This window comes from Homo sapiens, chromosome 2 (genome assembly GCF_000001405.40).
Source record: "Homo sapiens chromosome 2, GRCh38.p14 Primary Assembly".
NCBI lineage: Eukaryota > Metazoa > Chordata > Mammalia > Primates > Hominidae > Homo > Homo sapiens.
This window is the reverse complement of record NC_000002.12, coordinates 114,439,852-114,456,351: the sequence shown is the minus strand read 5'-3', so window position 1 is coordinate 114,456,351 and position 16,500 is coordinate 114,439,852. Positions and strand designations below refer to the sequence as shown.

The window sequence follows — 16,500 nt, the reverse complement described above, 5'->3', positions numbered from 1 at the left end:
TGGTCATCCAGATTTGTGCAAACTTGTCCTTACTCCTCAATAGTCCATCTCTCCCAGACCCTAAGCTATCCTTTGAAATTAGTTTATGGTGTTATGTCCTGCTTAGTATTCCCATTAGATGCGCTTTCTGGATTCTCTATTGTTTCTCCTGCCTCACTGAGGTCTGAGTTCCCAGTTCTGATGTTTCCAGGTGGGCCTCCCCTTACAGTCTCCATTAGTAATACATGATAAGGACTTGAGCGGGGTGATGACCATGAAAACGTGAGACTTTGAAAAGACCCACCTGTCAGCATATAATGATGGGATAGTCAAGTGCCTGTATATTTTAGAAGGAAGTACCCTTAAGTTAGATATTTTCATAAGCAGTATTGCCATGTGGTGTGATGCAACGGGCTTGCCTCCATGACATAAGGAGTCAAAGCACGACTGAGTAGTAGGCCCAGTTCTACCTCTTTTGCATTCAAAAAATTAAGCCCTTAAAATTTTTTGGTAAAATGAGAATAATGCCTATCTGGAAATATTAGAAGAAATACTGAATACAGAGGGCTAGATGAAGGTCAGCTGGTTAGCTGTTGATTTTTACTACTTTACTGAGCATGAAAATGGTAAAAAAAAAAAAAAACAAATGAATTTGTGGGTATGAGACTTTCTGGCACAGAGTAGGTGCCTAGAAGATATTTTCTTCTTATTATGGAAAAAAGTAACTTCTCCAAACTTGAAATCACTTTAAACCTTTTCAGCCAAACTCCAATGAAATAAGTTAGCAATAAGCCAACTACAGCTGTATTTACATTTTTTTTTTTTTTTGAGACAGAGTCTTGAACTGTCACCCAGGCTGGTGTGCAGTGGCATGATCTCTGCTCACTGCCACCTCCGCATCCCAGGTTCAGGCGATTCTCCTGCCTCAGCCTCCCATGTAGCTGGGACTACAGGCGTGAGACACCACGCCTGGCTAATTTTTGTATTTTTAGTAGAGACAGGGTTTCACTATGTTGGCCAGGTGGGTCTGGAACTCCTGACATCAGGTAACCCGTCCACCTTGGCCTCCCTAAGTGCTGGGATTACAGGCGTGAGCCATTGGACCTGGCCTGTATTTACGTTTTTAAAACCCACCTCTTATCTCTTCTAACTTATTGTCTTAAATACATATGCCACCACCCCCAAACACACACACACACACACACACACACACACAATAGAAAGAAAATCCCTTGAAAAAACCAACAAAGTATTTAGCTTCCTTTCTCATAGTGATATCGTCTTCTGGAATAAAAGCCATGTGATTATATATCAAATAAAATGAAACATTAATACTATGAAAGAATATTCTGGAGCAGTAACATAGCATTCCCCACATTGGATGGCCTTCACTCACTCATTTATTTAGCAAGTTCTTTTTGAGCCTTCATTCCGTGTCAAGAATAATGCTAGACACTGAAGTCACAATGACAAATGAGAGGCTGCCTTGGCTTCCAGGAGCTTGCAGTCTAGCGGTGGATTCAATATATAGTGGAAGGTAGACAGGGTAGGAAAGAGGGTGAAGGGATAGGATAACAAAGATACATAGACATAAATGTGATGTTGTTTGCAGGGGGAGGGAAGGACAAAGCAAGTCGTCTTCCTGAGGCTGGAAAAAAAAAGGGTTGAGAAATCTTCCAAGATGAGACAAATTCCCTGTGAATTCAGCCCGAATGAGGAGCAGTAACTACCAGCCAGATAATAAGGAACAGGAAGCATTCTCATGAGAGAAAACAGGAAACTTCAATTGAGAGGCTTAAAATAGCAGGGGACCTTGGGTAACAAAAACTAGTTCCTTAGAGCTGGCGGAAACCTGAGAGTTAGGAGACACTCAAATAGGAGGCAGAAAGCATGAGCAGTCAGCTCAGTTTTGTAGTAAGCTTATCTGAACTCATGTATGATCTCCACCTCTTACAGTCTGGGTGACATTGGGCAAGTTAATGTTTTCATCTATAAAATAAGAACAATAATTACTACTAAGTCACTGTAGGAACTAGAGATATCTCATAAAAGTACCTAGAAAAGCATCATGGTTTGGGCACTTAACAATGGTAGTGATGAAATAATAATGATGATGACAGCAAGGATGGTAGTGGTGGTACCCTCCCTTATCTGAGTACTTTCACATATAGCACCATTTGGAGTATTCTTTTCTCTCCCGATTCTTCACCAAGCTGCTATTGCTTGCCCATCAAGTTTCAGTTCAAAGATCCAAACTCATCTGCGAGTTGGGGTGAGGAGCCCCTTCTATGCTGTCTCAGAGCACATTTTTCTTGCCATTGTCATGACACTTTTCATACGCTATGGTCATCAATGACTTACTTTTCCTTGCTTTTCTCCTTCATCCCAAGCAAGGAGAGAAGAGAAAAGATGTCGGACTGTAAGCTTTTTAAAGACAGGCTCTGTGTGCTATCCCATTTGGTCTCCTCATGTGTGCAACTTAATATCTATTGTATATCCAACTAACATTTGTTGAATTAACATATGGATAGACAAAATATCAGAACACACAATTTAAAAGGCTCTTTTATAAAATGAAGCCATTTAGTATACAGTTTTTGATTGTGAATATAGCAAACAAAAGTCAAAGATCAAGGTATTTCTTTGGAGGGGGAATGGGTTTTGCTCTGGTATGTCTTTAGGTGAGTGCTTGCTCATCCCAGTCATCACAGTGTCAACTGTTGCATATCTAACCACAATCCTCATGTTACTCCTGTTAACCATGAGGGCATTCAGGTGTTACAATGAAGGTTTGAGAACAACGCTCCTGAAGGTATAAGAACTTCAAATCCCTAGATGTAGCAGAGAAGACATAATTGTGATAGACCCTGAGAACCCTAATTATTTGATGAGGGATATCACCATTATTTTGTTTCATGCTCCCCAAATAGAAGAAAGTCCAATGACATGTTAACAAAGAAAAAAGAAATGAAGGAAAGAAAACACAATGAAAATTGATTGGAAACTGAGTCATTTAATATGAAAGGAGACGAGACTTCTTTCTACCTGCCCTTTTGCTCAAACGTGATCAAAGAAGCCTCTGCTATAAAGGAAGCAATCGGGGACAATGTTATATTTTAAATTAATACACGTTTGTTGAAAATGTGCTTGGATCATGGCATTGCCTATTTTTCACAGTGTGGTGCAACTTATATGTCTGTCAGATTCTAAAATCTATTTTGCTGATCTCTGTGGTATGTATTTTTGGTTTTCTACCTTCAAACCATCCAATCTCCCTGATGGTTTTCAACAGGATCCAATATTTACTTGTGTCACCTACTTTTCTATTTTCTCCACTCAACCCTGTGTATCATCAAGCAATTAGATAAGGAATTGGTGCAAGATTTAGTTCTAACCAACAAGAGTTGTGGGGTACTTTTTCTTAAAAAGAAACTCAAAGAAAGAAACCACTCTGTCTACTGGACATTGTCAGTTGTCATGTCTGCAGGCCAATTATGGAACTGAAGAAACCATGTAATCACCATGGCAGAAGTTAGTTTGAGAAAAACAAAGCAGAAAGACACAAAGAGGCTGGGTTCTAGGCCATGATATTTGGGCATCAATTTAACTGACCCTGGAGGTGTTCTACTAAGGGACTTTTTCAGTTTGGGAAATTATAATTTCTTAATCTTTTAGCCAATTTATTTAAATTTTTCTGTTATTTTCTGATGCTTTCAATGAAAAGCATCTCAATTAATAAAATTTACATGTTCTTTAACTTACCCCAGATCTCAAAAGACCATGATCATAAGTGTGGTTCCTGTTTAAAGGAGCGAATGGACAATGCTCACGTTTGCCTATTTTTCCTTTCTAATCCTTGGCTTTCTTGTCTGCAAAATGAGAGTCTAGACTAGGAAATCTCTAAGAAATATTTAAAGTTTTATGATTATAGAAACACAGCACATCAAATGCACTTTAATTTTTCCTGTATCTTCTGGAAAATGGTGTGAGCCATCAAGAGAGATCACCCCCGACCACTTGGAACTGATCTTTCAAAAAACACAAGGTATCTTTATTAAAGACAACATATAGGATATGTAATCAGAGAATGAGGAAGAAAATAATTGTCACATCTCTACACCTGAAATTTCCAGGTATTCTTCGAGATTATACACAATGCTATTAACAGAAGCCATTCATGTATTACTAGGCATTGTTGAAATAATGAATCAGCAATAAATATGCAAGAGAATGATGGTCAGTATATTATTTTCAAATATTAAAGAGGAAAATTTTGGTACAGCTAAATGATTGGCATTAGTCAAAAAAGATACTTTTAGATTATAAGGCTACCACTAAATTAGTATTTAAAGACCATATATTAATAAGTTATTAATAACCTTCAAGAAAGTAGCTGGTACCTTTCTAAATGAAGCTAATGAACAAACCTTTTGTTCTTGTTAAGATTTACCTTCTGTAAAACCTGTCTGGCTAATACTAACATCTTATATTTGGATTATCCTGAAAGACAGACCAGGAACGTGTTACCATCTTTATATTTTACTTGAAGACACAAACCTCAGGAATGATTCCCAGGGTCATAGAACTGTGTCCTGAATTTAGATCCCAAGATCTTGTCCCTGCTGTATTGCATTTAAGCTTTGCCGTCAGAGTACAGCCAAATCCTGAAAAACAACACAAAGTCCAGCTCCATGTATGCATTTGCAGCCTTGTTTCTCACCCCTCCTAATCATTTGCCCTCTGTAATCTAGTTGGTCTCAACTATTAAATACTTTCATGACAGTTGCATTGCCTTTTTTCTTCATCTTTGCACATTTTCTCTGTTTCTGAACTATTTTCTTTCCCTTTCTTTATCAATCTAACTCCTATGTAGAGTTCTGGCTTGGGTTTTGTGAATGCCTCCCTTCCCACCAACGACAAACCTAAGTATTTATCCCTCTTAATACTCATCACTTTACATTGTAATCATATTAATTTATATCATAGCCATGCTCTTCAAAAACAAAAGCTATCACCCTCCAAACATTTGAATTCTCTTTCATGAAATATTGAATGACTGTAACAATGAGAGAACGAGTCCAGTGCTCTATTCCTCACACCATGCTGTGCTCACTGGTCATCCAACAACTGTTCTGAGTTTGTTCTTTCATTCTATTTTATTTCCTTCAGAGGATACACCTAAAGGAAAAAATTTGCCATAGCTGTCCATCCTTGATCAAAAATGCCTGCCTTGCATTGTCTCTCTGTCCTAATTCTTTCACTGAATCAAAAAAAAAAATCAAATAAAGGGCCGATCTTTAAATACAATAAGTAATTTTATGCTATTTACTTTCCATTAAAATGAAGTGGAACTCATTTTTCTTAGGGCAAAATTCTGGAAACCAGAGTTGGGAGAAGTGGTGTTTTTCAGTCCGTCAGCAATGATTCATCTTGGAAATTAAGGTTTCTGATTATAAAAAGCCTCACTAGAGTGCCAGAACAAACAGTCCCCCTGAAAAGCCCTACCTATTGAAATCAGCAGTAACCTGTGTCTGCTATACTAATGCAAGCTCCAAAGAAGAACAACAGGGGTTGTCTCTGTTTGGTCACAGGACTTCCTTAATGTAGAAAAACGCTCATAATGCAAAACCTTTTTTTTTTTTTTTACTTACAGAAGCCACTTATCCTCAAGAGAAATAGCACATTGTTCTCACAATCCCTGAGGAACCTTGTTATTTCCTTCAAATGTTGTTTGCATATTTCAAAGTAACAGGTTTAGTTCTGCTTAGCTCAACAAAGACCAATATATTTCTGAACTCAAAAGTCAAACTACATTTCTTGGGAAGGCAAATGAATTTATAGCTTTCTTTGTTCTTTTTGTTCTTTTATTTAAACAATATTAATTGAGCTCCTGCTATGTGGCAGATATTAGGATAGGTACTGAGATTAACAAAAGTAAAAAAAAAAATCAGAGCACTTTAATAGCTCGTAGAGAGACTCACATGGAAACAAATAATTATAACTCAAAAGATTAATTGTTATTAAAGAGGTACAGAAGACTATATGAGAACATCGGCGATTAGGTAAGAACATAACAGTCTGACTAGGAGATTGTGAGAAAATTCTCACTGAGAAAATTCTGCATAAGATTTAAAGTAAGAATAGGAGTTTGCTAAAAGAACCATTTTTGGGGTTTGGGGGATGGGGAAGGTATGTGAGGCAAAGGAAGTATCAAGTCTAGAAGCACAGAGATCATATGAAGCCTATATTTATTCCATGATACAATTCCTCCTCAATGCAACCATATGTACCATCAATGCAGCTACCCAGGTATTTTCCATTTTGGTAGCACAGCACTGGGATGACTAACTGCATTTTTTTACTGAATTAATCAGTTCTTTCAATGACATTTGAATCCAATCTTCTTCCCCTACCTCCCTGGTAAAGGTTCATGATGAAATCTTGCAGATGTTACTACAATATTAGAAGATAATTTTCATCCCCCGGGTGACTTCAAAATGAATTTTTATCATCATTATAGTTAATAATAATTGCAAATAAAATTCTCAGCTTTTATGTCATAAAAATTGATTCTCACTATACAACTCCTTATGAAAATGTCGTATCCTTAAAAATTGCTACTAGAACAAATCATAATACAAAGCACTTACATAGCATTTTTGTTTGGGCAGATAATTTAAGTTTATTGCCCTTCTGTTAGTGGGGGAGAAATCCTTAACAGGGTTAATTGCCTTCCGCAAGACCACATGGTTCATGTGGTAAAGGGAGAGTGAGAACTCCACTTAAGGATGCCCCTCTAAAGAAAAAGCCATCCGATCTGCCTTATATCCGTTTGCAGGTAGTAGGGCAGGCTGTATGCATTTTACTTTTCTTCCCAGTGGTAACTATAAAAAAAAAAAAAAAGAAAAACATCAGAGTGCTATGAAGAATTTCCAAGAAATAAGCCTGTTTGGAGGTAATTTCCTTATTTCACAGCTTATCCCCCAGCTTAAATCTTGTTCTGCTAATGTAATATTATGCTGTGTCTGTCCGTGGAAGGCCAGCTTTGTTCACAATTATTCATGTTGTTCCAGTTGTGTGCTACTTCCAGTTATGCCCTACCAACCTGGCACATATCTACGGGCCAAAGAACATTCATAAAGGCAAGGAGAAAGGCTAATGTGATGATATTCCTCCCTACCATTGTTTGCCAATTTTCAGATACAGCTGGCAAGAAGGGAGACATTTCTCCAGCACAATTTCTGGACAAAAAATTAGTATGATTCTAAATCCCCCTAGTTACCAAAATGTGTTGATTACCAGATGGCCCCAAACCAAGATCAGAGAACAAAACCATCAAAAGCCAAAATGTCAGTATACTTCTTTGAGAAATTTTCTATGAATTTAAAACAAAAAGCAAGGCCTCTAACCTGCTTACATGTTGAGTAACACCTTACAATATCATTTAGGTCCTCTTAGAGCATTATCTCTACTAAATGACCTTAACAGTCATTAATAACCAACAAATATATATTTAATGTCTACTGGGTGAAAGGCATAGTATCAAGTAATCCCTGTGAGGAATAAAAGAGATAAACCTAATGATGAGATTTTGGCTGTCACAGAATTCATGTTACTTAATAACCCTAAGTATCATTCTGAAGCTGTTTAGACCTCTTCTGTGGTACTCAGACAATTCTTACAGGCTGACAATAGCACAGATGTGTCTTATTTTGTAATTCTTTAGCTCAGTGGTTCCAAAACATCAATATGGATCAGAATCACCCACCAAAGATTGCTGGGCCCTACCCCAAGAGTTTCTGACTTAGTAGGTCTAAGTAGAGTCCAAGAATTTGCATTTTTAATGAGTTCACAGGAGATGCTGATACTGCTGGTCTAGGGACAGCACTTTGATAACCACTATCTTAGCTTACTACGTCCATGCTTCATTTGTAGACCCATAATGTCTTTTCAGTGAGAGTTAGTAATTTGTCATCACAAATTTACCATCAAGAATGTCTTCACTAACTGACCAAAACATGAATTTCTAGAAAAGTATTAACACATTACTTTCTCAAGAATAAAATAAATACTAAATACTTCATAAAACTGTTTAAATTTACCTTGAAATTATATTATACAAGAATACTTCTTCAAAGTAAAAGTTGACATTCAAACACTATAAATGTCAAAGGAAAAAGAAACTTTTGATTTTATGAAGATCTAAGCTATAAAATGTAAAGCTGGCCAATTATTATAGTCACTCTTTATTAAAAAGAAAAAAAACTATAATGCTTCATTTTAAAAACAGCTGAATTTATAGTAATTTGAAATAAATTGTGCTATAATTATTTAAGATTTAAATACTTGGCCATAAATGGAAATTGTAAGTGGTGATAAATTTGTCATTAGCAGATGGTCCTATTCTTGTTTATCACAGGCTGTGATTTTGCCTTAAGCATATAAGGAAGCTGTGTCAGAGTAATTAAAAATATGTAGACCATTGCTAAGAGAAAAAAGTTTTCTCTCACACACATAAAATATCCTTATTTCTAATTTTTGTAAGTTTTTTCTTTTGATTTCCTTAGCTATCACCGCTTAGAATGACTCATCCTAATGCTGAAGAAAAATCTGTACCTTGCTAAATGGAAGTGTAGAACTCACTGGTGAAATCAGTTGCTGTAGAGTTACCAGTGGTAACTCTTTCTTTAGTGTGTATGAATCTATGTTGAGTCGATAATTTTATAAAGTTTCTTTTTATGTATTCTTATGAGTAAAGTTCTTAGGATTAGGAATAGGAAGACTCTCTAAGATAAGGTACAATGTAGAAGTATGTAACAATCTTTCCACTTAGAATTTCATATACTGTAATAATGACATTGGAGAATCTTCCATTTTGCATATTGCAATGACACACAGAGGTAGATTTTTTGTTATTAAACATTCCTTGCATTTCTAAATTTTTGTGGATATAATTTATATATTTAATTATGAAATACCCTTTAAGAATAACTTACAATTCAAGTTCAAGTACTATGTGAAACGCAGGTTTGTCAGTGTCCAGCATTTAGGTTAGGGGTATAGAATTAACAACAAGTGGGCCGGGCGCGGTGGCTCATGCCTGTAATCCCAGCACTTTGGGAGGCTGAGAGGGGTGGATAATGAGGTCAAGAGATCGAGACCATGCTGGCCAATGTGGTGAAACCCCGTCTCTACTAAAAATACAAAAATTAGCCAGGCGTGGTGGCAGGTGCCTGTAGTCCCAGCTACTCGGGAGGCTGAGGCAGGAGAATCACTTGAAACTGGGAGGCGGAGGTTGCAGTGAGCTGAGACTCCGTCTCAAAAAAAAAAAAAAAAAATTTAACAACCAGTGAGATTGCAATGCTGTAGTTCCAAGCCATCTCATCATGCCAATTCATGGCAATGTCACACTCCAAAATACCAATTTGCTAACGAAATTATTTCCTAACCACCATGTTCCAAGCCTACGTATTTAACAATACATACTTGTGATAAGATTTTCATCCTCTTTTAACCCCTTGTCTTCTGTTTCCTATGCCTCATTTGGCTGAGGCTATGGATTAGAAGTAGCAAGGGGGAAAAGTCTTTATTAGCACAATGACTCATCAATATTACAATATAAAAGGCAGTAAAAATCACCATGAAAAAGTTTGCCAGCTCAAGATGTACTCCGAAGACAATGAAAATCTTAAAGATTCGTTTAAGTATAGTTTGTAAAAACTTGCAGCAGGGCTATGTAGGAAGTAACTAGAACTTTTAGACCTTGAGACTCTTTTCTAAATGGAAGTGAAAACCTGGGTGTGAAGGCAGTATTAAAATAAATCAGGCAGGTCTTGTAAAAAGGAAAGAGAAAGAGGAAGACCGGTCACTACATGGGAAGGGTAAAGAAATATTGTGTACTGTATTTCAGAGTTACCATATAAAGTATAATACATATAATTCTTGATCCAGGAATCACCACCCCAGATAAGTTACTCACAATTTATAACTTCAAAAAGGATGAAGGATTTTCTCTACTCATTTTAGACACACGAGGATACTAGACTGATATTCAAATGTGAAAGAAATAAGAAAAAAATCTGCACATTTTAGAGGCAAAATTCTAAGTTTGCAATTCCACTAGCAAAAGAAGTAAACCAAGATCAGAGATTTAGCTGAAAGGTTTAATTTACTTTCAGTGCAGCCAAGAGAAGCCATAATGGTGAAGGAAAAACTCAAGTTTGCTACCCATGGTGGGGGACATTCTTCAGAAATCACGTTTATAATAACGCAAAGATCTGATCTCTATTTAGCATTCCCAGATACTTCCTAAAACTTTCCATTAAACATCTCAGAGTAAAAGATTTTTTTTAAAAGAATGTTGCTACCTTCACAGGAAGATTTGTAATCACATCAGGAAAAGCTTTCTTCCCTTACAAGCTCTGAAATGGAGGAAAGTTTTCAGAGTGAATTGCATTCAGCATTTCACCCAAAGTGATCTGAGAACACACTTGGCACCCCTATTTGACTCCCTTTTCTCTCCCTTACTGGTTTTGACGATAGGAACATACCTGCCAAAGTATGCCAGGAAAAGTGTGTCAGTAACTGTCTGAGCTAAAGAATGGCCAGAACGACCAAAGCAAGTGTCAAGCAACCTGAATACTCTTGATCATCTTGTTCCATTATAACTTCTCCCAATTTCCTCTTTTCCAACTCTGACACATCATGGCCACAAACAGCCTTCACTGGCAACAATTGCTGAATTTTACCCACTATAGACTTCATCACTTCTTGAACTTCAAGTGGAGGAGAACACACACACACACACACACACACACACACACACACACACACACACAGAGCTGTTTTTCCTCCTCCTGCACACTTTTGGCCTTTACAGCTATTTTAGCAATGCATTTCACTTTTGTTCATTCCCATTGCATTCTTTTTAGCCGTAGTTTAACTGTTGAGAGAAGAAACAGTCAGCATTTACTATACTGATGGGGGAAAAGTTCTCTAGAGGTTATTACACTGAGCTTTGGGAGAAAAGTCTCTAGAGGTTTTTGAATTTCTAAAATGGAGCAATATGCAAGTTATTTATTTCCAGATCCTCAAAGTGGGTTATCATTACCTGCAGGCCAACCAGATTCCATGAGGGAGGGTTACTTAAAATTATCTGATAGTAAATTGATAGTAAATTTAAGAGTGAGGAATAAAATTAACTTTAAACAACCATGCTTGAAACTAAAATTCTAATAGTTCAAAGAGTATTTTGAGCTCCAATGTCCCACAGCTTCCCAAAACCCTCTCATCTTAGAGTTTTTCTTTAGATTGTTATTGCATTTTGTTCATAGGCTAATGCATTACCTAAATATAGATAGCCATTTTTAGTATAAATTCAAAAAGCCATAAATGTTTCATAATTGAGCACATAATTTGAACTAAGAGAGATTTTCCACTCATCCCTTTTCACTATTGCAAATTGCAAAATACTCAAGTAATTACTCCCTTAATAGTTCAGTGCTTGCGACTATATATATTTTATGAACATCACAAGCATTTTTTTGCTCCCCAGAGCAATATTGGGAATGGGGTGCACAAAAGAATTTAACTTGTACAATTAACCAAATTACCCAGAGCTTTGATTCAAGATTCCTTCATTAAGCCATTAATATAATACATTGTTAAGTGGTGGGTTGTCCAATTTTTATGATACTTTTCATTTCAACTCAATGGCTGCAGTTAGAAGGAAAAAACAGCATCTGCAAGATCAGCAAGATGATGTAAAACCTCTACACTAGAAACATTTTTTTTTCTGTTCCACAGTTTGTTTGTGGGCAGCCAATGCCAGAGCACTAATAAAGGAAGTGATTTGAAGTCTCTGAAAGTAGTAGTCATTTATGCTTACTCAATAAAGAAAAGGGAAAATAAATGCTTGATTCCTGTGACCTCAGACTCTTAAACAGAAAGCCACTGGTTTTGTTATAGCATTCTAGACATACTTAGCAGTAGGCAGCCAGTTTGTAACTCTATCCCACTTTAGGCTTCAATACATATTTCCCACTAGAGCTTATATATCCCAATGTAGAGTGTCATGTATTTACTATTTTGGCTTTGTTCAGTGATATGCTTAGATAATTGATGTATGTGGGAAACTGATACACAGAGGAAAACTATACCAAAAGCTCAACATTTTTTATTTCTAAACTTAGATACAGCACAGAAAATCTAATGCTGAAAAAGATTCTCATATCTGTTATTAGAGGTGGTGTAAATTATCTGAATATGAGTTCTGCATGATTTCAGTTAACTCCCTATGTTTATGTATGATGGGAATCTAATTATGCATCATTTAATATACCCTGGAAACCCCATTGCTTTTAAAAGTCACTGCTAATAAATAGAGGAACATGTTTAGTTTATGGTTTATCTATCACTGAAACACTCTGGCAAACGGTAGGTAAATTCATGAAGAAGAGACATTGTTGAAAATTATATTCCTTTTGTAATTACAGTCTATGCAATATTATTAAAGGCCTGAGACATAAACCAAAACATAATATAAATCATAAAAAGTCAGGCTTATCAGGAATAGTAGCAAAAGGTATGCACTTGTATGTTAATGAGAGATTGCAGTAACTAAAGATGCCCTGTCAGGATATCACGTTTTTTGTTTTAGTTTTTTTTTTTTTTTCATAAAAGAGTTTCAGACGAATCCATCACTTTCCCTCAAGATGCAAAATATCCACATAGATAATAATACAATTCAAGTAAATGGCAAAATATAGTAAACTTTGATTGGAAGTCTGGTCGTTTATAAGCCTTCTTGGAAATAAGAGCATCCCGAATAAAAACAAAGAGAATGGTATAAGCATGACTTGAAACTAAAACAGAAGAGTGAAATTGTGAGTTTGTTCTTTACCTTTAACCATGTGCTGTCAGAAAAGCCTCAAATTTTAAACAACACCTGCATTGAAGAGTGTCTCCAATCATCTCACTGGTTTTGAGTTACATGGTGATATAAATAAAGACATGTGATTTTATACTCTCTCTCTAGTCTTTCATCCTCTCTCACTATAATCACTTTAGTATAACCACCAGTTCAATGCTCACAATGAAGGATGAGCTTTTTTTAAAAAAGGATAAGAGATCCAAAATTCATATGACAATGAAATCCTGTTATCAGATTTGTAGTCAATTTGATGCTATTTATTTCTAGCAGTTTGCAAATTCTTCCCCAGTTCTATCAAGAAAATTGGCATGGACTGGAAACTCTTCTAGACACTCACAAAACTTTCTTCTGGAAATATACCTCTGATAGATTCTCAGTAAAAAAAAAAAAAGTCATGAAGATGAAAGAAGTGTTCAGTGGAAACTATTCTTTCCAGTCTACACACACATGCAGAGCCAAATGCTTTATTGTGACTCAACCTTCAATTCAAACTCAAATCAAGTAGGTATGTCCACTGTCAGTACCCCGATATATCAATGCCCATGTGTTAGGTAGATGAATGAAGACACATGTGCAGAAGCAGAGGGAAAAACCAGATCCTACCTTGATTGTTTTTGAGGGTTGACACTTGATGTGATGGGACACGCTGGCAGTTTGGTTCATGTTTCAGGACCCTGGACAGTGCACAATCCCAGGCGGAGTTCCAGAATGAACTAGAGATCAAGTCTCCTCTATTGGACTTCAGTAGGGGCTGCTGCTGTTGCTGCTGCCGCTGCTACTGCTGTTGCTTCTGCTGCTTCTGTTTCTGCTGCTTCCTCACTCCGGAGGCTGAAACGCTATCAGATTGGAGGAATCTGTATCTCACTTAGCCCTAAATAGAGCATTTACTTGGTTCATCAGTCTCAAAGCTCTTGGCAATATGCAATAGAAAGCCAAAAACGGTTTAAATTCACTTGCAGTGTACCTTTTCAGTATGGAGATGTGACAGCTCCACAGTACAGCCAATGATCCTGGCTCTCATTCCCCTTTCAAAGGGACGAAAACCAGAAAACATACAGAGATCAATTGCAGTCCTGCAGTTTAAAGGGGCACTCTCAACTCCTCTGTCTCTCCAGATTATAGTTTTTCCAGTGCAAAATATTTCTCTCTCTCTCTCTCCCTCTCCCCACCCCTAACCCAGTTTAAAAAAAAATCATAACATCCTCATTCTGTTACTAAATTTTATTCCTTCCTGGGTACTTCTTGCAATCAAAACACAAGTAAATGCTGTGGAAAAAAAAAAAAAAAGACTGTTGGCAGTTTCAGAATTTGGGGGTTTTATATCTATAGGTTGAAGGACTGATATTCCCTATGGATATTTTTAAAATTTAGCCATAACAGCCAGCCAAGAGACTGTCCTTTCTGTAAGGTGGCAGAAAGCTTAAGGTATATTTAAAAAGTTTTCAAATACAATAGTTATTGTAGTTTTTGGATATCGCACCAAAGCTAGACAATGTTTTTATTTTCAACCTTTATTTTTGACCATTGCTTTCCTTGAAGCCGTATTTTTTGAATGCCTGGGACAAACTGGTAGTTAGCTCATGCCAGTCTAACTCCCCAAATGGTCACCTCTCTGTCCCTAATGTCATTTTAGGCAAAATAAATTATAAATATTTGTAAATTAAGTTTTCCGAGTCACCAGTCCCCATTGTCACATCAACACTAACTAGAATAAATATATCCTGGTTGGAAATAAGATCCAGTAGTCTTGAGTAAATGCAGGACACTCTTTTCCAACTTTTGTTGCAAAGTGTTTGATGTTGAAAACCAACAGTATTTATTCATCAGAAATGTATCCTACTAATGAAATGCTAGGTTTATAAGATTGAACTAACGAACTACATTCAGGAGGCTTTTATGAACAGCCTAAAATATTACAGATAAACTTTAATGTGAAATGAAATAAATTAATGTTTGGTGAAATTAATTTATACATAATTATAAACACATATTTTCTCTTGTAAAACAGAAAAGGGATCTAAACATTCTGACAAAGTAGTCTGCACATGTTTGAGGATGGCTAAGTTTCAGAAGGTTATAGTTCTGAGTAGCAAAGTGGAGGTAAGGATGTGACAGAAGTAAGATCAGACTGTTTGCAGCCACAAAAGTTAATGGCAAGAGTATTGGAGAAATCAGGAGAATCATGGGAAAAGAGATGGAGCCAATAAGAACCAGGCAAAAGGCTGTGTGCAAGAATCTGGTGTAGCAATATCCAGGCATCATATTGAGCACAACCAGAGGCAGCCATAGGGCCAACAAATCTCATGATTTGAAGTTTACAATTCTAAATCACAAATGTGACTGGAATTTGTGGCTTATCTTGTATTTTGCTTGAATAGCATTGCTTTGAATAATTCATAAATCACAAAAAGAGTATATTAAAAATGTTTAAACATTTTGTATTCAACAATAATGAAAACAACACAGAAAATTTGCAGTATGCAGCTAAATCAATATTTAAAGGAAAATGTATATAATTAAGTACCTATACCAGAAATGCAGAAAAGCATAAAATTAATAATTAATAAGCTAATTATTCATATCAAAGAGTTGGAAAAAGAATGGCAAAATAAACTCAAATAAATTATAGGGGGGAAACAATAAAGAGAAGAGAAGAAAGTAATGAAGTAAAAAACATACAAAATACTCAATGAAAAAACCTATGAACATTTCATCAGGTGGTTTACAGTTTGATAATCTCTGAATAAATGAATGTTCTATACCAGTAGAATTGGCTTAATTCCTTTCTTAGATAGCACTTTGTACTAGGTATCTAAGAAACTTCCAAACTAAATTATCTGGGGAGCCCAGGGAGGGAGAGCAGTCCAAGAGTTCAGAGTATCCCATCCCCATCAAAGAACTGTACAGGATGGAAGGAGCCACTAGTACTTCAAGGAACCCTCTCCAGGCACATTGATAGAGACAGCATTTATATGCCTACCACAAAGAGGGTATGAGTTGCTGGATTTCTACAACTATAATCACATGAGACTTCACCCCTTTTCTACAATTTTTCAAAAAGGTTCTACCCCCACCTGGATGGCAGCAGGATCCAAGAAAGATATTGACACTACCATTTATAGGTAGGTGGCCAGAATCCACCTAAAATCTTTTCCCAAAGTTGCATTTTGAAAATAGAGAAAAATCACAGTAAGAGAAAAGAGTGCCTCGTATACACCATATGCTCCCTTTCCAGGCTCCACATTATATCAAACTCCAAGTTCCAAAGAAAAATCAAGTGTTCAGAGCAAAACATATGACCCAAATCTCATTTTGGATTTTGTTTTCCCTTTCTGTTATATTATCATTTCATGAATCAAGGAAATGAAAACCATAGTAATTTTTAAACATTTCTATTTAAAACATGTATAAATTGTTCATTATTTTGTAAAATCTGCTGTATCTTAATGTAGCCAATTGGAATGTACAACTAGAAGAAAATAGAGACCAAAGAAATTTAGACAAGTGCTAGAGAATTACAAATACCGCTTAATAAGGATAATTCATATACATTTCTTCTAATTGGGATATATTGGGCTCAATATGTTTAG

The 16,500-nt window shown here is 36.2% G+C and overlaps 1 protein-coding gene across 5 annotated transcripts in view; it reads right to left on the bottom strand.

The window, feature by feature from the left end:
• Positions 1–13,711, bottom strand: part of DPP10 (dipeptidyl peptidase like 10) — a 1,403,140-nt gene extending 1,389,429 nt beyond the window's left edge. For all 5 annotated transcript variants that reach the window (NM_001321910.3, NM_001399849.1, NM_020868.6 and 2 more), the window contains exon 1: positions 13,514–13,711. Coding sequence is in view for 2 of the 5 variants with exons in the window: in NM_020868.6 (NP_065919.3) it covers positions 13,514–13,573 (60 nt within the window). In the remaining 3 variants the exon portion in view is untranslated. The remainder of the gene's footprint in view (positions 1–13,513) is intronic.
• Positions 13,712–16,500: the final 2,789 nt, after the last annotated feature.